This window comes from Homo sapiens, chromosome 20, assembly GCF_000001405.40.
Source record: "Homo sapiens chromosome 20, GRCh38.p14 Primary Assembly".
Classification (NCBI taxonomy): Eukaryota; Metazoa; Chordata; class Mammalia; order Primates; family Hominidae; genus Homo; species Homo sapiens.
This window is the reverse complement of record NC_000020.11, coordinates 5,900,702-5,926,995: the sequence shown is the minus strand read 5'-3', so window position 1 is coordinate 5,926,995 and position 26,294 is coordinate 5,900,702. Positions and strand designations below refer to the sequence as shown.

The window sequence follows — 26,294 nt, the reverse complement described above, 5'->3', positions numbered from 1 at the left end:
TCTGTAGCTCAGGATGCTATAAAAACTTCAATCATCTGGCCCTTCTGAGTCTTCTATTGTGTGGGACTCCTGGGCCTATGCATGTAATTAAAATGTTTTTTTCTCCTGTTAATCTGCCTACGGTCAGTTTATTCCATAGACTTAATTATCCAACCTTCAGAGAGTAAAGAGAAGGTCTTACTCTCTTCTGCACCACCTTCCAGAGAATAACTCTTTACCAAAACTGTGAAAACAGTAGAAATCAACCAAGTAGAAGCCACCAAGGGTGAGGAATTAAATGACAGGTAAAAAAAGGGAGAAGGGGAATTGTCCAACTGTATTGTCCTAAGAAGCTGCAAGAATGATTACGGCAGCAGCTAACACTTCCTATGCCGTTGATATACACCAGGCACTGCTCTGTTTTGCATCAACTCTATCATCCTTGTAACAACTCAATGAGACAAATATCTTATTTCATTGATGATCTTGAGGTTCAGAGAGGAAAAGTAACTTGCCCAAAGTCAGAGCTACTTAGTAACAGAGTCAGCAGAGTAAAAGCTCTACCTTTTTTTTTCTTTTTGAGACAGGACCTTACTCTGTCACCTAGGCTGGAGTGCAGTGGCACGATCTCGGCTCAATGCAGCCTCAACTTCCAGGGCTCAAGTGATCCTCCCGCCTTGGCCTCCTGAGTAGGGAGGGACTATAGGCGCACAACACCATGCCTGGCTAATTTTTAAATTTTTTGTAGAGACGGGGTTTCGCCATGTTGCCCAGGCTGGTCTCAAACTCCTGAGCTCAAGCAAACCACCTGCCTTGGCCTCCCAAAGTGCTGAGATTACAAGTGTGAGCCACCATGCCTAGCCTCTCTCTCTCTCTCTCTCTCTCTCTCTCTCTATATATATATATATATATATGTATATATATATATATATATATATATATATATATTTTTTTTTTTTTTTTTTTTTTTTTTCTGAGAGAGTCTCGCCCTGCCACCCAGGCTGGAGTGCAATGCCTGATCTGCGCTCACTGCAACCCAAGTAGCTGGGATTACAGGTGCCCGCCACCATGCCCAGCTTTTTTTTTTTGTATCTTTATTAGAGATGGGGTTTCACCATGTTGGCCAGGCTGGTCTCAAACTCCTGACCTCGTGATCTGTCTGCCTGGGCCTCCCAAAGTGCTAGGATTACAACTGTAAGCCACCGCACCCAGCTGCCTCTATCTTCTTAAGGAGTAGAAATCAGACAAGATCTGAGGGGCCAGGGATCTGTCTTGACAATCCAGATGTTTTCACTCCCACCCCGGAATTCTTCCCATTATCCAAGCTTTCTTCTCAGCCCTGAAAAATGAACTTTGGCTGGCTACTTGTAGAGCTCTTTAGATAAAGGAATTTTTAAAGTAATATCTTATGATTGTTTTTGAAACAGGTTCTTCAAGCCCCTGTAATCTCTCTCAGCATGGGGGAGTAGATGTCTTTTTCTAATCTATTTCTCTTTATATCCTGCACATTACTTCAAAAGGTTTGCTTTTTTATTCTATTATGCATCCAAAACCCAACAAATCCTAGGGCCATCTTTTGCAATTTACTTCAAAGAATAGATTTGAAAAGTCACACACCTCTCTCTTTGCCCAAAAGAAGCTGAGAACAATGAAGCTTTTGGTCTCAGGTGAATCTTTTATTATTTCCAACTGAGACAAACATTTTTCCAAAGACAGTAGCACAGTCATTGTCATAAGCATGTTAATATGTCTATTTTGCAGAAAAGAATATGCTACAAGTCATGCAATTCACATTTTCAATAGCATTCTGACAGAAATTAAAGACAATTCCAATTGTGTCAAACATTTAATGAATAGTAAGTTCTACTTTCTGCCCTTGGGTAGATAAATGGTGTCTTTCAGTGAAGTGGTGAAAAACAGATCATGTGATGGCTGCTTCTTAACAGTGCCCACCGCTCCAATGACAGTCAGCCCCTTTGGCTGAATTTCTCAGCTATCTTCTGTAGTTCCAAATCCATTGCAGCCAAGTTTTCGAGTTCTTTTTTCTGGAAAATACAGAAAAGTGGAGGCATGAGGTCCCGAACCAATTTCTTTTGCTGTAGTTTGATGGAGCATGAGTGCAAAGGGGAATTTTAGGCATGTTAGAAGCTGCATTAGTCAACCTACCTCAGTAACTCTCAAAGTGTGGTCCCCTGACCAGTGGCATCAGCCAGGAACTTGTCAGAAATGCAGATATTGGGGTCTCACTTGGGACCTACTAAATGAGGAACTCTGGGGGCTAGGAATCCCTCATGATCCTAATGTACATTCAACTTTGAGAAGCACCAACCTACATAATCAATATTAGGAAAAAAAACATTGTTTGGGTAGGTTCAGCTCCAGTAGTGTTACCTCTCCCAGATACAAATTTCTGATGGCAGTAGGGCATGAAATAATAAAGATAGCAAACTAAATAGGCAAGCAAGTAAACTTCTCTATCACCTATTCTCCCTGCCTCAGGGAGAGAGTGATGAACAATAAGAGGACCAAGGGGAAGATACCAGAACAGCAGTTGTTAACGTTGGCTGAACGCTGCAATCATCTGGAAGCTTTAAAATATTCTGATGATCAGGCAGCACCCTAGGAACTAAGTAGACAGAATCTCTAACACAGTAATTTTTCACGCTCTCCAGGTGACCCCAGTGTGCAGACAAGGTTGAGAAGCAATGCAACCGAGTGAGGTGGACAAGGATGTGGACGATGGCTAGAGGTAGGTGGAAACCGACCCCCAAGGTGGCCTCCACTCCATTACTAGAGCACCATTTTCATAGTGATTAATTCCCACCAATTTCTCCCCGTGAATATCGGATAGTCTTGAACATAATGTGCTAACATTGACCAGAGTAAGTACTTTTAAACAGAAGCCCTAGACCATACCTCGTCCTCTGTCAGGACTGTCTGGTCAGCCCTGTCCTTTTCATTTTCTGCCTCCTGGTGGGTGCTCACCGGCTCCTCAGAATCATAGAAGTCTGGAAACTCAGCTGACTTCTTCCTGTAGTGAAGGAGCTGGTCCAGTTGGGCCACCCTGTCATATTGCCTTTTCAGGTCCAGCTTGGGGACCCTGGCGAGGTTTCTCTTCTCATACCCCCAGTTCACATCCTCAGAGAAGGGCTTTTTCTCCCACCAGTCATAGTTGTATTCTGGGAAGAAATTCTTCTCGTTCAAGGTCAGCTCATTTTCCTCCTCACCCTCGAGAAAATTGTCATTCATGTTGTCTCTTCTTTCAAAATGGCTGCTCTTCCACTGGAGAGGGTCGTAGTATGGGTTGAACAGTTCCCCTAATCTCTTCCTCTTTTCAGCTGTGTGATGGGAGCTATATTGTTTATCTTGAAACCTAGCTTCCTCCCTGTTTTCTTTAGTGTCCTGCAGGTCTCCCTGCTGCTGCCACTTCCCTGGGGCTCCTTCCTCACCGTAGTTGAGATAATTTCTGTCCAGCTCTTTCCACGCACCTTGTGGATGCCTCCTTGCCTTGTCCATCTGGTTTTCTTGGACACGGTGGTGTCCTTCACCCAAGAACCTTTTCTCTTCTCTGGTGTCAGACATGAAATAGGCACGTGGCTCCCCTCCCCTGCCTCTGTGATGGCGTCCCTTTCCCGGCTCAAGGCCCCTCTCTTCCTCACTTTCTTCACCATATCCATGTGCCATCTTATCAAGCTCTAAGCTGGGGTAGTTTCTCTTGTCCTCCTCATCCCAACTCTCCTCACTCTGAGGTCTTGGAGCCCTGTATTCTTCACTTCCTCTGCCCCTATAGCGCTCCCACTCCAGGTCCTCAGGGGCCTGGACGCCTGGATAACCCTTTATTTCTTCTCCATATTCAGGTTCTTCCTCTGAAGCCCTGTAGTGGGTTGAATGGTGGTCCCTCTTTTCCCCTAAACTGGCCATGCTGACGTTTGACTCCTCAGATTCCTCCTGGGGGTGTCCCTTTTCCTCAGAGGGAAGACTCCCTCCTTGAGAGGACCTGTCGGGCCTGCTCCTCCCGTGGTGGTGTCTGGGCCTCGTGCGTCGTTTGTCCACCTCAGAGGTGGCATCTTCCTCACCTTCCTCAGATTCTTCCTGGCTTCGGGGTTGGCCTTTAGACTCCTGGGGGTGATTCTCCTGGCTCCCTGTCTCCTCTCCACTCTCCTGGCTACTCTTCTCTCGGCTATGTGTCTTCTCCTGAGAATGCCCGGCAGCATGTGTTTCCGATCTGGCCACTAACTCCTCTTTTTTTATAGCTGAAGCCTGCTTTCTTTCATTGAGAAAAGCGTTTTGTGTCTCTCCTGGCTCTTCAAGGTGTTTCTCTTCACTGCTATCTTCCCCTCGCTCCCCTTTTTGATAGTTCTCTCCCTCCTCCTCCTCCTCATCCTCTCTCTGGCTCTTCTCAGAATGGCGTGTCTTCACTTCTTCAGAGACTTGGCTGTCGGAGGGATAGAGGCTCCACTGGGGCTCATCCGCTCGCTCTCGGCTGTGCCCGCCTCCCTCTGCCCATTTCTCTGTGTCTGCCTTTGTTGGGCCTTGGATGTCCTCCTCCCCTGGGGCTCCTGCCTCTCCCCTGCTGGAGGACTCGTGGGCTTCCGAGGCATCAGCTGGGTCTCTTAACAATCTTACTTCAAACTTTGTGTTTTCATTTTCAGTTGTCTCTTTGTCTTTGACGTCTTTTCTACCTATAATGAAAATGAAGAGTAGGTATAATTTCAGAATTGCTTGTGGTTCCACAAGCACCAGCCTCAGTAATCACTACAAATCCTGATGACACTGAAAATTGCTTGGATAATTATTTAAGTTAATGAAGAATATACTCAGATTCCTTTTGAAAGTAAATGCTATGAAAGCTCCTTGACTGTGTTTAAATCTGGTAATAAACTGTCTATATTTTTATGTCTTCATAATGCCCAGCCAGCTTCTCTCATTGGTACTACCAATGATCAAACTGAAATCGAGATATAGATTTATGAAATATTAGAATTTAGAGGCAGGAAACATCTTAGAATTCATCTAATCCAGTCCAACCTCTTCTTTTTGCAGACATTGAGACTCAGCATGGTATAATCCAAGACCATTCTTTCCATATTTTCTTCAAGTAGGAGTTAAAAAGTTAGCACTATGTGAATGGCTCTAACAATAATCCAGCTAGATAGTTAACTAGCCAAAATAAGAAATATCAAGATTCAAAGGAGGATTTAAACATTTGAAATTATTAGTTTATATCAGACTTTTATTATCCAATCAACTGTAGGCTCAACCTAGCAGTATGTGATATATAACTTAGTAGCTGGTGATAAGGGTGTACATTTCTTGCCTGAGAAAACTGCACATCAGTGGAAAGGGCCATTTCTTTCTTCACTCAGGTTCCATCCACCCAACATGTTCTCAGATGTTGGGGACAGACTTCAGCACAGTGAGTTATCTTTGTGTTTCCAGAGTCAGAGTACATGGTATAACTGATATTTTAATTGAATGCTGTTCTCGTCCATCTTTTCCAAATATCAATAGCTCCTTTACTAAGTCCTCCTTAACTCAAGGGCACCCCATGAAAGGAGATAGGCAGTTAGCATTGTCTCAGTTGTTAGCTGGGAGGGCTTGGATTTCAACCTATGTCACAGAGTTCAGATAAAATGCCTGAAGCCAAGGCCACTGACAGCTCTGGGTCTACACTGCAGGCACCATAAGCCCAAGTGCTGTTGAGCACTTGAAATGTGGCTGGTCCGATCTGGGACATGCTATATATGTAAGATACACATCAGACTTCTGAGAATAAAGAATAATGTAAAATAATCTCAACAATTTTTATATCATTATATGTTGAAATAATATTTTGGATGTATTGGATAATATATATTTCAAATAGATCAGATTTATAAAATTATATATCAGAAAAAAATTGGATAAAAATAAAATATATTATTGAAATTAATTTCCACCTGTCTCTTTTTACTTTTTAAATGTGGTTACTATAAAATTTGAAATTATATTTGTGGCTCACATTATATTTCTATTGGGTGGCACTGATAAGTTATTTTGAAATGATATTTGCAAAATGGAAAAAAATTATTTATTTTGTAAAAATGTCCAAGAAATAGTGGACTCTCTGTACCTCTCTGTTTAAAGTCCAGTCTGGCATGATAATAATATTCTCATGTTTATGAGGCAATGAAAATGTCCCTGGCCTTTTCCAGACATCTGAGAGAAGGCCCATCTGTCACCAGTCTCTTTGCCTCTTAAAAGCCAGTGGTGGTGTGTATAGCATTGGGGCATGGCTAGCCAGATGGGCACAGGGAAGCATGGTGGCTCTGGGCAGTGCTATTGACTAAATGTTTGTGTGATTCCAAAATGTTGAAGCCCTAATCCTCAATGTGATAGCACGTGGAGGTGGGGGCCTCTGAGAGGTAATTAGGTCATCAAGGTAGAGCACTTACAATGGGATTAGTGCCCTAAGAAAGGAGATATGAGAAAGAGATGATTTCTGTCTCCACCAGATGAGGATACAGTGACAGAAGGCAGCCATCTACAAGCCAGGAAGTGGGCCCTCATAAGACACTCTGATCTTGGACTTCCGACTGCTGTAACTGTGAAAAATAAATGTTAGTTGTTTAAGCCATCCAATCTATGGTATTTGATATAGCAGCCCAAGCTGACTAAGACAGACAGATACTGATGTCATTCTGAGAGTTGGTTGAAATAGAGCTGATCAGACAAGATCTCAGCCTCCAGGGGCCGAGTCACTGTGGTCCCTTTCCTACTGCCTACTGGTTTGTGAGTCTTAAGTGTCAGGAACAGAAGTATTTTTATTTTTTCCCAATTAAATATGTACTGCCTGAGCAGCATGTGCCTGAGGCTTAGCTCTTCCTACTAAATTTAGCTTTAAGCCCCGCAGGTGGGCCTGGAAGAGGCTGTGATAGCAGCACACACTCACTGTCAAGCTGTAAAATCAAGCTGTGAAGCTCACACTTACTTTCAAGCGAAAACAGGGAAATGCATCTGTCATGCTGTAAGGATGACCAGATCAACCCTAGTCAAAGAGATTCTTGTACCTGTGAAGAAATTAGACTACGTCTTCCCTGAGGTCTCTCAAATCCATAAAACAATGATTCTGTCCTACTCCCCAAATACTCATTTGCTCAGTGAGTATATGCTGACTCTGAGACATGCAAGTAGGAGTGGGAGTGGAGATGGGCGTGGGGTGGAACAGAGGCTGTATAAAGGCATTCATCCAACCAGTTGGGCAAAAGCTCCACCAGTCTTCTGATCAGTTTACGACATGCCAACAAGAGAGAGAGAACTAGAATAGGATAAAAGTTGCAAACTGGTGCATCAGAGGTAAATTCTGTTTGACCTAAACAGCAGTTTTAGTACATCTGAATTCAGAGGCGATATGAAAATACCAGGAGATGTCTTTTAAAAATCAAAATTTTAACTTCTTTTGAAAAATCCCAAGATTTGACAACATAGTCTGTATTTCTCCATAACGGGTTTAGAGCTGAGAATTACCTGCTCCCTCTCAGAAAAGGCATGTGCCCTCCAGTCTGTGAGTCACTTCCTGTCCTGCCTTACTCTTTTGTGTTATTTGTCTGTCTAGCTCTGCCTGGTGTTTAAGGCTCAACCACAGAAGAGCTCTTAAACCTTCGCCATCTCAGCATTCTGTCACTCTCTGGGTATAACATCTCCAGGATCCTTAGATACATTTGATTTTTCCCAGTTTCCCTACGTCTCTCTCAACAGACACCAAAAGACCTCAGGGCATAATCAGGGCTGGAGCAGAGGCTAGAGTTACTATGCCATAATCTAAGGGCTAAGATCTTGGCAGGCAGGCATAGGCAACTTTTCCTAAGCAACTGTGGTTCTTTAGTGAGCTGATGGGACAGGCCCCTCACTTTTGCATTGGTCTAGTAAACAAAGAAAGGGAAAGGGAGATACCAAGATGGGTTTGCCAAAAGGAGCAGCCTTTACTCTCTGCCTAGTGACCCACTCTGCTCTTACTCACTTCCTGTAACTGCTGGAAAAAAGAAGTTGGAAAGAAACTCAGAAAGAGGTATGTGGGCTGGGAGTGGTAGGAAAGCTTCCATCCACTGTTTCTAGGGTCCCTAAAGGCTCAGGCCCCCACAGCTACCATTGTTACCTGAAGCCCCCAAAGATTGAATTAATTCAGGTTGCTCTTTTTTTTTTTTTTTTTTTTTTTTTTTTTTTTTTTAGACAGAGACTCGCTCTGTCACTGAGGCTGGAATGCCGTGGGGCAATCTCGGCTTACTGCAACCTCCACCTCCTGGGCTCAAGCGATTCTCCTGCCTCAGCCTCCTGAGTAGCTGGGACTACAGGCGTGTGTCACCACGCCCGGCTAATTTTTTGTATTTTTAGTAGAGATGGGGTTTCACTGTGTTAGACAGGATGGTCTTGATCTCCTGACCTTGTGATCCGCCCGCCTCAGCCTCCCAAAGTGCTGGGATTACAGGTGTGAGCCACTGCGCCTGGCCTCAGGTTACTCTTTTGGCCAATCACTATTTGCTTTTTACCATTTCATGCATGAGGGCTCATGTATAGCTATAGCAAGAGAGTCTTGTCTGGCAGCGAGAGGTGTTTATTTGGTGTTTTTTTTGTTTTTGTTTTTGTTTTTGATGGAGCCTCACTCTGCCACCCAGGCTGTATCCAGGCTGGAGTGGAATGCCACGATCTCAGTTCACTGCAACCTCTGCTTCCCAGGTTCTAGCGATTCTCCTGCCTCAGCCTCCCAAGTAGCTGGGATTACAGGCGCCCGCCACCACACCCAACTAGTTGTTGTATTTTTAGTAGAGATGGGGTTTCACCATATTGGCCAGGCTGGTGGCAATGAGAGTTTTTTTTTTTTTTTTTTTTTTTAGATGGAGTCTTACTCTTGTTGCCCAGGCTGGAGTTCAATGGAGTTCAATCTTGGCTCACTGCAGTCTCTGCCTCCCAAGTTCAAGCAATTCTCCTGTCTCGGCCTCCTGAGTAGTGGGATTACAGGTGCCTGCCACCATGCCTGGCTAATTTTTTTTTTTTTTTTTTGTATTTTTAGTAGAGACAGGGTTTCACCATGTTGGCCAGGCTGGTCTCAAACTGCTGACCTCAGGTGATCCACCTGCCTCGGCCTCCCAAAGTGCTGGGATTACAGGTGTGAGCCACTATGCCCACCTGAAAGATTTTTAAAGGTGAAAAAATAAGATAAAATCTACTGTTCCCAGCCTGACTAAAAGTTTAAAAGCAGAGGACAGTGTTGAAGAGGGCAGTGTTTTCTGGATTTGTTTGAATCAGTGTGGCTTCATGCATAACAGAGACTGCATAGTTTTGTAAAATTGACCTCATAATGTCAATTTCCAATGGGTACTGCTTATATTACTGTTCAAATTTTATTTTCAGCAGAAATGGTTTCATATTGAGAACACTTCACAGGCTGGACTCAGAAAGCCATTAGTCTGCCTCACTGGAATGCACTGCCTCTACCTGAAACCCTTCCAGTTCTCAGGCCTGGAACTCCTGGTACCATTTGGTGGCACCTTCTATTCTAGTAAGCTATACATTAAAATATCTTAGCTAATTTGTTGTGTAAATAGGCCAGAATTTTAAGTCACCTTTCTAAGTTTCTTGCTTCTCAGCTTCCTGATTCTCACTGTCAGAAGAGCAAAAGGCAAAGAGAAGAATGATTTTTAAATCTCCCTCTGTCATTGTCCAACACTTCCATAACCCCCCTCCTCATCTAATCACAAACCAGCATTTCCCAAACCCCCTCCACCCAAAGGAAGTCCGGTTCTAAAAATCCAAAGTATGGAACTAAGGAATTTAAGAACGGATAGACATCTGAAAGACTATCACTGAGTTCAACTCCTTCATTTTACTTTGAGGAAAAGAGAGGCAAACTGTCTTTCCTATAGTCACACAGCTGCGAAGTGGTAAAGCAGGAACTAGGAGTCATATCTTCTGTCTCCCAGATACTGGCCTAGTCAATCAATACTCTTCCTAGTGCATTATGCCCCCAGGTCATTTGTAGATAAAGTAGAAGGTGATGTGGAGGGAGTAGGAACAAGGATCACTGCAGTGACCAAGATCTGCCTGCCGTGTGGGACACTTACTCGTCTTCAGGACTTGGCGGCACTCAGGGGTGATGGGTGGAGCGCTGGACTTCGACAAGGCATTTGAGAGGACCTCAATGATGCAGCGAGTCACCTGGGGGGAAACCCGAAAGCAGGTTGGAGAAGCTGGTATCACTGGATGACAGACTACTCAACCCAGAGCTGCTGTCAAGGAAGACTTGATTACGTGACCTGGGCTGATGCAGTATTCTTAGGGCGGAGATACAGATTTACAGGAACAGAATGAAATCTTCCAAACTTCTACACAGAATAATGCAAGAAGGCACTGAGTTGGGATTATCTGGAGAAGGGAAATAAACACCCATTTCTGAACCAATGGCACAGCTATCCTCAGGGGTGCTAAACCATCCTGACAGGACATAGGAGCTCAGTGCAGGAGGGGCATCCCTTGCTCACATTCTGTCAGCAATGAAAACCTGGCTTTGTAAGATTATGTCATGCGTGTGTTTGGTTTGGTATAATAGGGACTGGGAGAATCTAGAGTCTAGACACAAGTCTAGATTCTAAGATTGACATTGCAACTTACCATTCCTTCATTGTGGTTCCTGTTATCCACTGGCATGGAATTGACAGCTTTGAAGGAGAAAAAGAATGGAAAATGACTTGAGTTGGTTTTTGAAAGCTGTGTGACCCCAACTGACAAAATCACCCCACATTAGTTGTTGTTTTTCCCCTGGCAATGTCTTAAATATATTTGGAAACAAATGCTATTTTAGATCCGGTATAAATCAAATCTAGACCACAGACAAGGAGGGGACTTCTGGGGAACCAGAAATGTCCCATTTTTTAATCTCAGTGCTGGTTACACAGGTGTGCGTATTAAGCTGTATACTCATGATCTGTTCCATTTTCTATATATTTTATTTCAATTAAAAGTTTAAGCTAGGGCTGGGTGCGGTGGCTCATGCTTGTAATCCCAGCACTTTGGGAGGCCAAGGCTGGTGGATCACAAGGTCAGGAGATCGAGACCAACCTGGCTAACATGACAAAACCCTGTCTCTACTAAAACTACAAAAAATTAGCCAGGCGTGGTGGCACGCGCCAGCTACCTGGGAGGCTGAGGCAGGAGAATTGCTTGAACCCAGGAGGCGGAGGTTGCAGTGAGCCATGATCGTGCCACTGTACTCCAGCCTGGGTGACAGGGCCAGACTCCGTCTCAAAAAAAAAAAAGTTTAAACCAAACTAAGTCTAATAAAACAAGAATGCCCTCCTTGGTCCTTCTCTGCCTACCCCAAATAGGTAAAGATCTGTGGCTCTCTCTCCGTATCTCTGTTTCCAAAAATATATCCTCCCAAAACTTACTTCCTTGACAAAAACATGGTTATGGATGTCTTCCATAATTAATTACCTCATTTTTCACCCGCAAGGCCTTTGCCTGAACAAGCTCGTTTATGCATCCGTATCAACATTGTGTTTCTCTTTCTCCACACTGTTTGCAACCATGTAAAGAACATGGCAGATATCTAACCCTCCTAGTACAGCATCAAGTCCATAATATTTTATGCAAATTGGTGTTTAACCATTGGTTTATAAGAATATTTTAAAAGAAAAATTTTAATTTATTTCAATAAAATTTCATGGGATTCCGCCTATCTTAAAACAGTGTTTGAAGTTGCTTTGTCTTCTTCAAAAATGCTTCAGGTAATTTTAATTTTTCAGTGCCATTTTTTTTCTGTCTCAAAGCTGCTTTGATTCTTTTTTCACTTTGACTTTGTTCTAAGCCCTTTCTATTAGAACAGCCCAAAGCATTTACATGTAAGTCCATCTCTACAGTTCTCCTGGCATTCCTGTAGCAGGCAACTGAGCAGGAGACGCTAGTGCAGAAAATTCTTCTAAGTCCCTGAGAAGAGAGTAGAGCTAGCTGGGGCAAGTTCTCAGACATCAGACATGAAAGCTATTCAAATGCAGCAACCTGACCTTTCCTTGCAAAATGCTTTGCTCTAAGCCTCTTTAAACATTCCCCACCCCCTATCAATTACATATCATGGGGCTCAACCTGGAAATAAAACACCTATTCATTTACTTACTTTACCAAATTTTTCTTTTCAAAGCATGATCTGGGATCACTTCAACTGTTTCAAGAAGCCCAAAGTTATGCTATGAAGACCCCAAGTTCCTCCTGAAATGCTTATCAGGCAAGATCCAGTTGGCCCACTTTTGGTACCCAAGGTCCAATATACTCAACTGTTCTTTCATCCTCCAAATGGCTACTTGAGAACACACCCATTTCAGCACTTTCTCTTTCCGCTGGAAATCTGTAATATCTTCTGCAAATAAATGACTGCGAGAGAATAACTCCCCTAATAAATCAGATGACTTTTAAAAAATGCAGCTTTACTAAGCCTTCTTGATAATGCAGTTTCTTGCTAATACTTTCCCTTTTTTTTTACAAATGTAAAATAGATGTTTTTATTAACTACTGGTATTGCTGAAGTATTAATAGTTACCAGATTTGGGGGCAGAGAAAGATTTTTCTTTTATTACTCTAGACAACTTGTAGCTTAGGTTTGTATTTATGAAACCGTTGTTTCTCTGACTGAGGCTCTTCAGATCTCTTTTTGATGGAAAAAAAAACTAGGGTCTGCTTTTGAACATACATTATACATCTTGGTGAGACATCTAGGTGCTTCTGTATTTTTCCGGTAAAATTTGTGACAACAAGGTAATAGCCAAAGGCATGTTGTCATCCTTAAAGTAGTTCAACTTACTTTTGCATACAGTAAGATTCAGGTGGCACAACAGAAAATCTAATGCTCTCTGTAGGTATATACGAAAAAAAAAGAAAACCTACTGCTCGTGTTAAAAGTAAAGCAATCAAATGGTAGAAAAATTATCAAATAATCTGGTAAATCTGAGAGCAACTTCTGATGTATTAATATCTAATACTGTTAAGGTTTGATACTGGATTGAAAATATAACTGTAAAATAAGTTAAATAAGCTCTTCTGAATTTAGAAACCATTTTCCCGGCCGGGTGCAGTGGCTCATGCCTGTAATCTCAACACTTTGGGAGTCCGAGGCTGGCGGATTACCTGAGGTCAGGAGTTCGAGACCAGCCTGGCCAACATAGTGAAACCTCATCTCTACTAAATATACAAAAAAATTAGCTGGGCGTGGTGACACACACCTGTAATCCCAGCTACTCGGGAGGCTGAAGCAAGACAATTGCTTGAGCCCGGGAGATGGAGGTTGCAGTGAGCTGAGATTGCACCACCGCACTCCAGCCTGGCCAACAGAGCAAGACTCTGTCTCAAAAAAAAAAAAAAAAAAAGAAAAGAAAAGAAAAGAAAAAGAAAGATAAAGAAACCATTTTACCTAGAATAATATGGATATCATTTTACTACTTCCCTTATATTAATTTTTAGAGTGCACAATAGCTTCCATAGAAGGTTGTGCATATCTTTCAGAAGTTCTTAAGGATAAGTGAATGAGCTAGATGGTTTCTTGAGGCTTCCCCCAGCCCTGTAATTTTGCAAATTACCAGCTCTACTTGAAGTCTAACATGTCTCATTGCCAGAGGCTGTGGGGAGGTGGGAATGGAGAGGTGCTTGCTAATGGGTTTGTGGTATCTTTCTGGGGTGATGAAAATGTTCTGAAATTTGATAGTGGTAATAGTTGCACAATCTGCGAATATACCAAAAACCACTGAACTATATAATTTAAAAGCGTGGATTATATGATATACAAATTAAGCTCAATTTTTAAAAAGATTATGTCTTCATTTTAGCTGCTATTAAAATATAAACTTTTATTTAAAATATTCTGTTACATAAGAGATCTGTAAGTATTGTACCACAATAGTTAAATCATTCCCACAAATGTCACTGTTTTTGTGGTCTACAGCCTCCTAAGCAAAGCAATTCTTTTCTGAAAGTATTTTGACCAGAAATAATTATAAATATTCATTTGATTTTCTTTAATGAAATTGAGAACATTTATTGACAATTTGTGAGAATGACAAGAATTTTAGCAAATTCTGAATGTATATAGCTTACAATAAAATTAATTACGACTGGCTTTCATTTTGTTTCTACCTTTTGGATCTAGTAATTGCTGCCAATAAAAGCTTCATATTCATGGATGGCAGTATCTCAATTCTAGGTAGGAGTCTCAATCTCAGATATGGACAATTTTCTAAATCATTAAAACAGCTGAAGAAAACCTGTAGTTTAATTTGGTGCTAGTATACTTACTTCTCAATAGTCTCAATATCTCAATACCGGTAGGTGACTCGACTTCAACACACACACACACATGCACACACACACACTTCAGATCTTCAGAGATCATTTGTTTGAGATTCAGGGTAGTTTGAAAGATTAATCCTACAATCTTCCCTACAAAAGGGAAACAGTCAAATATCTACTACTTAAAATTCAATCCTCCTAAATTGGCTAAAACATTTTTTTTTTTACTACTCCAAAGGAACTTTTGTGGTTATTTTGTACTCTAATAATTTTCCTGGAGTACAGAAGTCAAAATACTGCGGTTTCCATTCATAACTAAAAAATGAGGAGCACATGTTCTCAGGACTGCTGAGGCTTTCACAGGTTAAAAAAAAATAATTCCTTTGAGTGTGAAATTAGAAATTACCTGTCCCTAGAGATGGAAATACAAAATAGAGGAACATATTATATTAAACTTGTACATACATGAGCACACATACACACACATTATATATGGACATGTTAAGAAAAGGGATATATCTTATATATATATGGGACTCACTTTTATCTCATCATACTTACATGACAATAACAATAATAAGGGAAATTATGCAGGCACTAAATAGCATCATACATGTATTCCTGCCTCTCTGTAGTCGCCTGGCTTTAAAAAGCCAAACAGATACAGAATCAGACAACAGAATCTCTCTAGACGGGCAGAGAGAGTGTGACATCTTAGAAGCGAATACAAAATGTGAGGTTTCCTTGCAGGTATGGCACGTTTTCTTCCTTCCTATCTAGAGGAAAACTCAGATACAGAAAGACTGAGGCTCCCCTGGTTGGGCTAGGAAGCCCTCTAGCTTTTTCCAAGTCAAACGGGTGGGAGGAGCTGAAGGAAAACACCCAGGGAGGAGAAGAAACGAAGCAAGAGGTAAACCTTCCCCTCAACCCTCCCTCTCTCCCGGGATCCGCCAGCCTGGCTGCGGGAGCGGCGGGGAAGAGCGAGGCTGGCGCTGTCCGCGGTGCTGACCGGCCCGCCGCGCCCACTCACCCGCCAGCCCCACGGCTCCCAGGAGGCTGAGAAGCAGCGTTGGCTGCATGGCCCCGCTCGGCGGCCCCTGTGCGGAAAGGAAGATGGCGGCTGGACCGGAGAAGCGAGGCGCAGGAGGAAGGCGCGATGGAGCGGCCCCGGAAAACCAGCGTGCCTCCTGGTCCCCGCGGTGTGGCGCGGCCGGCGCAGGCCCCGCTCTTTTAAAGGGCAGGCGGGGGCCGCAGGGCCGGGAGGAGCGGGCAGCCAGGAGCGGGCGCCCCCTAGCTCAGCCCTGACGTCACGAAGCAGCACCCCCAGGCGGCGACGCAAATGGGCGGAAATTTACGCCAGTCCAGTCGCCTGGTGTGCAGGGTCTGGAGCGGGGGTGGGGGAAAGGCGGGCCAAAGAATGGACGGCCGAGGGGAGTAGTGCAGATCTGAGATGGTAGGGGAGGCGGGAGGTCCCGCTTCGAGTGCCTCAGCCTGCTCCCCATCTCCCCCCACACACCATCAAATCTAAAACCGTGTGTTTGAGACTATATGCCTGTGTGCTGAGATGTGTGCGTGACGAGGTCTGTTTGTGTCTCCTCGACCTAGCTGAGGAAAACACTCCTGCTACCGAGAGAGAACTAAATGGTTGGTCAGGGAAAATGGAAAAGACAGTGATAGCTTTAAAAGTTAAAAGTGCAGCCGGAGAATATGGGACCTGCTGTTCTCTCAAACTTTTCTTTTTGTCTGCATATCCATCTACCTATCCATGATTATATCTCCTATTCATGATTCTCTGTCTCTCTTCCTCCTCCCTCTCTGAATACATAACATATACACATGGTTTAAAAAAAAAATCAGACGGTACAAAAGGATTTACTATAAAAGTCTCCCTTCTCCCTTTATTTCCAAATCTCAAGTTCCTCAATTCCTCTTTCAGTCAACACAACTTTACTACTCCTATAATTTAGGTTTGACTTATTTTGGAACATATACAGCTGCATCTTCTTTTGAATGATGTATTACATTGAATGGATACAATAGAATGTATTTAACCAGTTCCTTTTCTAATGAGCATTCATTCAGGTTGTTACCCTTTGGTCTTTACTCCTTTACAACACAGCCTTAGTCTCAGGGGTGGGTCGTGTAATAACCTGCTAGTAAGAAATAGTCGATGCTACAAACCCTGTGCATCCTCTCTTGCTTTCAAATTGAGACAGTAAAGTATTTTTGTTATGATGTGTGAGAAAAAGACGAAAGCATCTTCCAGGATATTTTTGATGTGGGTTCCCTCAGCCTAATGAGGAATCGGGAAGCAGCAGCAGGCAGGTGACCTGCACAGAATAGGAATAACACAGGCTTTGTGGAACGGAGTGAGACTTCACTGGGTTCTCTTCATTCAGGGAATGAAGATGTCTGCATGCACAGCTCAAGCGAGGTTTCAGTTTACTTTTCTTGAAAATTAATGAGGTTCAAATTCTTTTTGTATGTGCTGAATGAATGGCTACATCTTCCTGAAAAAGCTGGAAAGTATTTCACCAAGACCACAGCCACAGAACAGTTAAAAGAATGGACTTAAAAAGGATATTAGTGGAACAATGGATAAATGTTGAATAAGATCTATAGGTTACTGTATTGTATTGTATTGTATTGTATTGTATTGTATTGTATTGTATTGTATTGTATTGTATTGTATTGTATTAGTGTTGATTTCCTGATTTTGAAAGTTGTACTGTGTGCCGGGTGTGGAAGCTCACGCCTGTAATCCCAACACTTTGGAAGACTGAGGCGAGTGGATCGCCTGAGCTCAGGAGTTCAAGACCAGCCTGGGAAACATGGTGAAACCATGTCTCTACCAAAAATACAAAAAAAAAAAAAAAAAAAAGAAAGAAAGAAAGAAAGAAAAAAAAGAAAAGAAAAACAAAGAAAGAGAGAGAGAAAGAAAATTGTACTGTGATTATGTAAGAAAATGTCCCTGTTTTTAGGAAACACATCTTGAAGTGACTAGGTGTAAAAGGGTATCATATGTACAACTTCCTTTCACATTTTTAGAAAAAAATATAAAGATAGAGAAAAAGAGAATGCTAAGGTAAGTATGGCAAAATGTTAACATTCAGGGAATTGAGGAGAAAGGTATAAGGGAATTTTTTTTACTATTTTTGCATTTTTCTGAAATCTGAAATACTTTTAAAATTGAAAAAAGAATATTTGGGGCACAAAAGAGTCTGTTTAAAACCTCTGTAGAGCAGAAGGTACAGAAAAAGAAGCTGTTGAGTGAGGGCTGTTCTTTGACTGCAGATCTGCAAGCAATTTTTCCTCTAGAGCTGAAATTATATAAGGGTTCTAATACTCTTTAAGATGCGCTGATTGCCAACAATTCTTTAAAGTTACCACCTTCCAGGAGCATCTGCATCTCGACTTTCCAGTGATTTCCTTCTCTTCTTGCTCCCTTGAAAAGCATGGAGTTAAACAATGTTAACATCATCTTGTGGCTTCTCAGGCTGGGGGCTTGGTCTGAGTTCATTACTCATCAAGTCCTGAAGCAGGAAAGATCTCTTTATTTTTGTCAATTGGAATGAAGAAAAAAAAGGCAACCCTGGCCTACAGCCAGTTCCCACATTCAGACTTAGCTTTCTTTTTAAATTTTTCATCATTGTACAAATGTTTTATGATTTTTGCCTTTCACATTTAGATCTCTATGGAAAAAACAGCCATAAGGAGAAGCTTTTTTTTTTTGAGACAGAGTCTCGCTCGGTTGCCCAGGCTGGAGTGCGGTGGTGCCATCTGGGCTCACTGCAAGCACTGCCTCCTGGGTTCATGCTGTTCTCCTGCCTCAGCCTCCTGAGTAGCTGGGACTACAGGTGCCCGCCACCACGCCTAGCTAATTTTTGTATTTTTAGTAGAGACGGGGTTTCACCATGTTAGCCAGGATGGTCTCGATCTCCTGACCTCGTGGTCCGCCCACCTCGGCCTCCCAAAGTGCTGGGATTACAGGCATGAACAACTGTCCCCAGCCACATTTTTTAGCATATTATCACCCAGTTGTGCTGGAAATTTTTATTGAAGTGACCATCCTTTCCCAACTGCTCTGCAATGTCACTTTGAAAAAAATATCTACAGTCCATAGGTAAGTTGCCAGACTCTTCCAGAACATTGGTCCATTCCATATCACTGAACTATTTGTTCCTGGAAGCAGCACCACACTTTCTCTATCACCATATCTTCTTAATTTTTAATAAGTCTTCTTTTTTTGTTTTTTTTTTTGTTTTTTTGTTTTTTGTTTTCTGAGACAGGATCTCAATCTGTTACCCAGGCTGGAGTGCAGTGGCCCAATCTTAGCTCACTGCAACCTCTGCCTCCCAGGCTCAAGTGATCCTCTCACCTCAGCCTCCAGCATAGCTGGAACTACCAGCATGTGTCACTGTGCCTGGCTAATTTTTTGTATTTTTTGCAAAGACAGGGTTTCATCATGTTGCCCAGGCTGGTCTTGAACTCCTGTGCTCAAACAATCAGCCTGCCTCGGCCTCCTAAAGTGCTGGAATTACAGGTGTGAGCCACTGTGTCTGGCCATTAAGTCTTGATGTCTGCTGAAAAAGGTCTTCCCACCTTGTTTTTCCTTAGGATGGTATGGGCCATTTTTGGCCCTTTGCATTTTCATACAAATCTTGTAATCAACTGTCTATTTTCATGAAAAAAAAAAAACCAGTTAGGATTTTGACAGGAATTACATCACATCGATAGATCAATTTAGGAACAGTTGGCGTCTTTCCAATATTGGGCATACTTAGGTTTTGGTTTTTTTTTTTTTTTTTTTTGACATGGATTAAATGATCCTCCTGCCTCGCTTCCCATTGTGTTGGGATTACAGCTGTGAGCCACTGTGCCTGGCCCAGACTTAGCTTTTTGATTGCTGTTAATGTTCTGAATATAATCTTATTTCAAATACTACAAAATACCAGGAAAATAAGACATAGGAAAGAGTATCTTTCAGAAATGCTCTCAAATAATTAAGGGGGAAAACAAACATACCTCCTTTCGGAACTAGGCTTTAGAATAAATCATGGTTTTGTACATGGCTCCTGAGATAGATTTTCCATCAGAGGAATCCAGCTGGGAAAATGAAGCCAACAGAGGGAATTTGATACAGGAAACAATACACAGAAAAGTTGAAAAAGGGAAGAAAAGAAGAAAGTGAGAAAACCCAAAGATTAGCAACTGCAGGCGCTGCTACGCCCATAGGGATGGAAGGATAAAGAAAGGATGAGCCTACCCGGAGCCCAGAAACATTAGCCACTTGGTAGGAGTGGGAACCTCTGCCAGCTAGGTAGGTGGGATTTGGGGCCATGGGGAGGAGGGGCTGTATGATGGGAGCTGGAAGTACAGAAGAGACGCAGCCACTGCTAGAGATGCATCCCCTTCCTCCCAAGAAGAGAAAGGGGCAGAAATACCTTGGCTTCTTCTCTTTAGTGCTAGTGCCTTTTAGTGGCTGAACCTACCTGGGAACAATTGACAGAGAAGCCTGGGAAATATAGTTTGCAAGAGCCAGTCCCCTCAGTGACACAGAAAAGAGCAGGGGAGGGAACTGAAAAGCAAACCAACAAATAAATGCCATGTAGATCAAAACCACCCAGGAGTAGAGGTATTGAATTTAGATTTTCTCTTAAAATTCACAAATTCATTTCATTTGCATGTGTGAATGCTGATTAGGTGTCAAGCACAGTGGTAAATACATATTTCTTTGGTCATAACAAGCTACATGATCAATCACAACATTAATGGTGCTCTGCCTACTCTAGCAGAGTTCACCAGCCAGTCAGCGAGTAAAGCTGAGGGAGGTGTAGGTTAGACTCCTGTTCCAGAAATGGAGGGCAAGAGAGCACCACATCCAGTGAAACTGGCACCACTCTGGAAACTGCTGACCTGAAAATGGACGTTTACAGAAGTCCATGGGTTTCTGGCCAACAGGATAAATATTGATCTCTTGTGAATTTAAGTGTTTTCCTAATAAAGGGCACTATGTCAACAAGTAGTTTTCGTTGGGTAGTTTGGTCCTAGAACACATTTAGTACCTGGTTTCTTAGGTCAGATTCCTGATGCACTTGAACATAATTAAGAAATCAGAAACCAAACTTTCATCCAAAGAGAGGATGGAAATCATTTTTTAAAATCTACCAAATTATGGGTAAGATAACTCCATACGACTTGCATGCAGATACCTATTAGTAAAAATTAACATTTCTCAAGGGAAGGCGAGAGGTAGAGCCACAACCATTCAGGTGTGACAAAGCAGGGGATGTTCGTCTAAAAATCTGGAGTTTACATATAATGCGATGGTCAGATGAACAGTCTCACTTCTTATAATTGGAGAAAAATCAAGCAACTAATATTGAGAAATAGGATAACTATGCTTTGGGTCTGATGAATTGATAAGAGCCAAATCTCTTGACAAATCTGTAGTTTGCCACATATCACTTGGAAAGGATCTAGAATGAAGGGTGCTTGCAGGTCTTTTTTATGTCCCGCCCCGAAAGTCACACTCAGTTCGTAGAACAATTTAAAGTTTCCAAAGCACTTTCACAGATGCTGCACATTGGATTTTTACAAAAAAATGTTATGAAACTGACTGCTGAAGACTCTTAACACCCTCTTTACAAGTGAAGGATATGAGGTTAAAATTAAAAACGTGAAGTATTTTGTTTATGATCAAAACATTTGGTGGAAAGAAGCAGGCTGAGATTTGTTTTTGGTTCACTTCTTAAAATTAATTTTAAGACAATTATTTTTTCAAAAATTGAATGTGTTAACATATAGTCAAGTGATGAAGTGCACACACCTGAAGTATATAGATCATTCGAGTTTTGCCCATGTATACAGCCATGTCGTCAACACCCTGATCCAGAACATTCCCAGCACTCCAGGAAGCTCCCTTGTGCCTTCAGTCAACACTCCCTCCAGAGATAACCACTCCTCTGAAATCTACCACCATAGATTATTTTGGCCTGTTTTAAAACTTTGTATATGTGGAATCATGTATTAATAGTATGTGCTCCTTCATATCTGACTACTTTCACTCAATATTACATCTGTTGTGTATAGCAATAATTCATTCCTTTACATTGCTATGTAGTATTCCATAGTATGAATGGTGAAACAGTATATTTATATTCTATCATTGGCGGATATTTAAATTGTTTTCAGTTTGGAAATATGAATAAATATGCTATGAACACTTGTGTACTTGTGTCTTGGCAGACATAAGCTCTTGTTTCTAATACACTCGTTAGATATGTGTTAGATGTGTATGTGAAATTGTTGGGTCAGCTCTAGTAGATACTGTGTTTTTGTTTGTTTCTTTGTTTGTTCTTTTGTGACAGAATCTCACTCTGTTGCCCAGGCTGAAGTGCTGTGGCATGAATACAGCTCACTGCAGCCTCGACCTCCTGGAATCAAGCACTCCTCCCACCTCAGCTTCCCGTGTAGCTGGCACCACAGGCACATGCCACCATGCCCAGCTAATTTTTTTTTTCTGTAGAGATGGGAGTCTCACTTTGTTGCTCAGGCTAGTCTCCTGGCCTCAAGCAGTCCTCTCATCTTCACCTCCCAAAGTGCTGAGATTACACGTGTGAGCCACCATTCCCAGCACATACTACCAGGTTTCTGAAATGGTCGTACCGGGGACTGGGATTTGAATTTGGATTGTTTGAGTGTTGATGCTTTTGTGACATAACATTTCCACCTAGTGCAACCCCCACCCCAGAGTTGGAGGGAGAATGGGTGTCTCGATTCTGGGATGCTTTGGGTAGACGGCTGCTAGAAAAAGACCAAACCATGCTTCACTTACTTCACACATATGCTCAAGCCTTGGACCTAGGGCCAAAGGTTATTCTTAGTTACTCAGTGGTAATGCACAGATAAGGCAGAGAGAAAGAGCCTGAAACCCACTGAGAGAACACTCTCTTCATTTTACTCATTTTCTTAATCCTTTATTTAATACCTGTTCATTAAATTGATAGCAGAAAGACTATGTCAGTGTGGCAGGATAAGAGCATGCTCCAGTCTCCTTTGATTTCAGGCTCCAGAAGAGACTACGGAGATATTTCACACACATGTTCTCACGCATATGCACACACACACCTGTGCGCGTGCACACACACACAGGCACACCCTGCAGCAGATGCTGCTGGTTCCTTGCCCATTTCCCTCATCCATACCACTTGGATAGGACTAATGAAAAAGATTGGAGGAGGTTTGGGGTTTCTCTGATCCTGAAAGCAGAAGGGAACCTGGGGGTAACCGTGGAGAAATCTGATGGGGTACCTGGTGGGAGTACAGGCAGTGTGGCCCTTCCCTCCTCCAGCACTTGTGAGAAGCAGTGGGTCGCTGAGATGTCAGGGCTGCATCCTTTTCTGTTGGGATTCTTTCCACCTCTTAGTAGCAACTTCTTTCCACCTCTGGTGCCTTGATACTCACAACTTTTTTCTCCTCTTCCCCTGAAAAAGCCTTCTTCATATGGCACTCCTTCTAGGGACTTTTGAAGTTTGGTCTTATTACAAAATATGTACATAAATATGTAGAATTTCCAGCACCAAGCCAGACGTGGTGGCCAAGACCCTGAAATCACACCACTGTCAGGCCAGAAATGCTGATATTGAGAACCTAGAAGCAGTCCTGTGCTGTGTTTTGAGCTCTCCCTCCCCTTCTCTTCCTGCTGCATCTCCCTGGCCCTTCTCTCTGTGCTCATCCTCAGGAGTCATGAAATGTTAAGTTGGTTCTGCTTCTGCTATTCTGAGAGATTTGGCTGACTTTGCTCTGAGAGGAGGCATTCTTCTGCAGATGCTCAATTTTTAATTACTTATAGTGAATATTAGAGCGTACCAACTCCCAGGCAGACCTCTCCTCAACAAAAATGTATTCTATAGATGTAGACTCCAGGAAAACTTTATGTAGGTTAATTTCAGTTTTACAGCAATGAATATTTTATTTTTCAGTAATTCATAATGGCCCTTGAGGAGCCATTATTTTTATGTAAATATGCATAGTCTAAAACCTCCCAAGACGTAATTGCCCATATTTTTGTTATGGGTAACAAAGATATAGTTCTATAGTGAACCACTTCTCCTAAGTTATATTAAAGAGTTGCTCTCCCTCTTTTTTTCTTTCTAGTTTAATTAAATTTTTTTAGAGACAGGGTCTTACTCCACTGCCCAGGCCAGAATGCAGTGGTGTGATCATGGCTCACTATAACACTGACCTCCTGGGCTCAAGTGATCCTCCCACCTCAGCCTCTTGAGTAGCTGGGACTACAAGTGTGTGCCCCCATGCCCAGCTAATTTTTAAAATTTTTTGTAGAGATGTAGTCTCACTCTGTTGCTCAGTCTGATCTCAAACTCCTAGCCTCAAGCAATCCTCTGGCTTCGGCCTCTCAGAGTGCTGGGATTACAGGTGTGAGCCACTGTGCCCGGCCCTCCTCTCCCTCTCTTTCTCCCTCTCCTCCAGCTGACTTTCCTTCCATTTATATTCACTCAATCAACTCAGAAAGAGCACCAAATAATTTTATATTGCCATATAAACATGTTACTGTCTGAAACTGTAAATTACTAATGGATGAGCTAGTCTCACCTTAATCTTTTTGTCTTTTAGAAGGCATTTTATCCTGCCAGTTATGAAAATAAATATTAGAAAACTTACTGGATTTGGTCTCACTCCTCAAAGTACAATGGAGGCAGAATACACAGTTAATTTTGGAAAAGACAAAACTTTTGCAGAAATATAACCCAAGGGGCAATGTGGTATTACAGGCCCTACAGACTAAAGTAGAAACCTCAGGTACTATTAGGCCTCAGTCTACTGGAACATGGACCAGTTTCCAGCCTAGAGGTAAAAGAGGAACTAAAGAGGCATCCAGAAGATCTACCCAATTACAGCCCAACAAGAGAGTGAAGAATGATCAGGTTGGCTGGGCACGGTGGCTCACGCCTGTAATCTCAGCACTTTGGGAGGTGGGCAGATCACATGAGGCCAAGAGTTCGAGACTAGCTTGGCCAACATGGTGAAACCCCATCTCTATTAAAGATACAAAAATTAGCCGGGCATGGTGGTGCACGTCTGTAATACCAGCTACTAGGGAGGCTGAGGCAGGAGAATCGCTTGAACCTGGGCGGCGGAGGTTGCAGTGAGCCGAGATCACACCACTGCACTCCAGCCTGGGTGACAGAGTGAGACTCTGTCTTAAGAAAAAAAAAAAAAAAAAAAAGAATAGTTAGGGCATCATGAAGGATGGGAACTGCCTCCAGAGAAACATCTTAGCCATTGAAAAATGAAGCTGAACTCTTTGATTCTTGAATTTACCCAAGGACTTCATGAAATTGATAGCATTCTTCAAAGCTAGAGTGGTGGCTTGTTTACATAATAATGTAGTGTTTTTATTGCAATGCTTAAACACAGTTTTGGCAGTGGGGTTGTGGTGGGAGAAAGAAACAGGGAGAGTACGTAAGAGGCAGAGTGTAACACGCAAGCTCCTGCCCTCTGCTGTGGGTAAACCCACGCAGTGGTATTCATGGATGCTGCTGCTTCTTGCTTTGAGGAAAAAGGATACATAGATGATCATGCAAAGCTCAAAGCAGGCACTGAAATGCCAAGTCAGACAGTGGCCCGCAAAGCTTTCCTTTCCATAACCTCTTTTATACTTCTCCTGATCCCTCTAGATGTAAGGAAGACACCAAGAAAACTTTGGGAGATAAGGAAGAAGTAACTCAGAGACCATGCTCTGTCTCCTTGTCATCCTGTTGTAAGCATCCAAACGACCCAGATTACATAATCTGCCTGCCCCATGAGTACCTAATTAACATCCCACCACACCAGATCCAAAAGTGAAGAGGTAGTTTGCACAAAATGTGCTATTAAAAAGTGCTATTGATGCTAGGAGGCTCCAAACCAATATCATTCCTGGAACCATTTCATAACGACTTGTTCCTGAAGACATCCAAGGGGACAGAGTCCATGATTGGAATTTCAGACCCAGTGCAGGGGTTCCCCCAGGGACACTCTTTAATTAAGAACCTTCTCCAGATCCCTCAGTTTATAGCCTGTGGGTTGTGGCCCCTAGTGGGCCGGTTCTGCTCTGACTTCGTCTGGAAACAGTTCCTCTCATGATAACATCGAAGTGGACATTTCTGTGAGGACTGCAAAGTGGGTGGTGGGTTGGAAGGCCGTCCAGAGCTCCTGGGAGGAGGGTCTTGTTTATCTCTGGACCCTGACAGCATCTTGCCCAACCTCCGGGATGATTCCCTGGATCAGGATGTCTGCATTTCAGCTGGTTAAGGATCTTGTGGCATCACTTGACTGCTTCTACAGGTCTCATCTGTCCAAAACTAACACGTTTTGCCCCATTCCTATGGGCTCAGCCTTGCCTGAGTCTCAGAACCTCCCTTAGAGTCTGTTAAGGGAGATACACAGAGTTCAGCCCCTCAGAGTTCAGTATCAGGTCACATTTGTAGGTGGTCTGGCCCCATCTGGAGTCTGAGTTCTTGTAACTAGTCTTGTTTCTGATTCATTTCTGACCTGTCCCCAGCCACCTCCACTGCAGTCCAAGATTGTGTAATGTATGGTGAAGAGTTTGAGACCTCAGGTCAAATCCCATTTAGGCCACTTACCAACTGTGTGATTGTGGAACAAGTGACTTAACTATGAAACTTGCCTTCCTCATCTATAAAAGAAGGATGACAATGCCAACCTCAGATGCCTGGCCTGTGCAGGAAATGAGCTAGTTTTTGTAACCCCCTACTACTGTGCCTGGCACACGGTGGCATTCAAGACATGGCAGCTGCTATTGCGATTTCAAAACAATAGCAGCTTCATTGACATGTAATTTATACACAATGAAATACTTCCCTTTAAAGTGTAAAATTCAGTACTTTAGTATCTATGTACAGTTATACAACCATAGTCACTGTCTAATTTCAAAAAGCTTTTCATCATCCCAGCAAGAAACTCCGTATTTATAAGTAGTTACTCCC

General features: G+C 42.6%; 1 protein-coding gene across 1 annotated transcript, besides 3 other annotated features; it reads right to left on the bottom strand.

Moving 5' to 3' along the window:
* Positions 1,643-15,486, bottom strand: CHGB (chromogranin B). The gene is made up of 5 exons (NM_001819.3): positions 15,314-15,486; positions 10,624-10,670; positions 10,077-10,170; positions 2,896-4,661; positions 1,643-2,024 (listed from the first exon to the last, which is right to left on the bottom strand). The coding sequence occupies exons 1-5, from the start codon at positions 15,360-15,362 to the stop codon at positions 1,947-1,949; spliced, it is 2,034 nt and encodes a 677-aa protein (NP_001810.2). The 5' UTR covers positions 15,363-15,486; the 3' UTR covers positions 1,643-1,946.
* Positions 1,987-3,186: an enhancer, noted in NCBI's record as "BRD4-independent group 4 enhancer chr20:5904456-5905655 (GRCh37/hg19 assembly coordinates)". NCBI's record gives its function as "activates an origin of replication core promoter dependent on BRD2, P300/CBP, MED14 and CDK7 cofactors, and independent of BRD4, by STARR-seq in HCT116 cells {active_cell/tissue: HCT116}" and the evidence as "EXISTENCE:reporter gene assay evidence [ECO:0000049][PMID:35650434]".
* Positions 15,197-15,246: a silencer, noted in NCBI's record as "silent region_12659". NCBI's record gives its function as "represses an Ori minimal core promoter by ATAC-STARR-seq in GM12878 lymphoblastoid cells {active_cell/tissue: GM12878}" and the evidence as "EXISTENCE:reporter gene assay evidence [ECO:0000049][PMID:35858748]".
* Positions 15,287-15,356: a silencer, noted in NCBI's record as "silent region_12658". NCBI's record gives its function as "represses an Ori minimal core promoter by ATAC-STARR-seq in GM12878 lymphoblastoid cells {active_cell/tissue: GM12878}" and the evidence as "EXISTENCE:reporter gene assay evidence [ECO:0000049][PMID:35858748]".

What these genes read in the sequence shown, in the direction of transcription:
- CHGB (NM_001819.3), bottom strand. Translation starts at nt 15,362, where the DNA reads ATGCAGCCAACGCTGCTTCTCAGCCTCCTGGGAGCCGTGGGGCTGGCG. An exon ending in GGAACCACAATGAAGGAATG is followed by an intron (nt 10,171 to 10,623) that starts GTAAGTTGCAAT and finishes GTTTCCCCCCAG; the next exon opens with GTGACTCGCTGCATCATTGA. An exon ending in CCGCCAAGTCCTGAAGACGA is followed by an intron (nt 4,662 to 10,076) that starts GTAAGTGTCCCA and finishes TTTTCATTATAG; the next exon opens with GTAGAAAAGACGTCAAAGAC.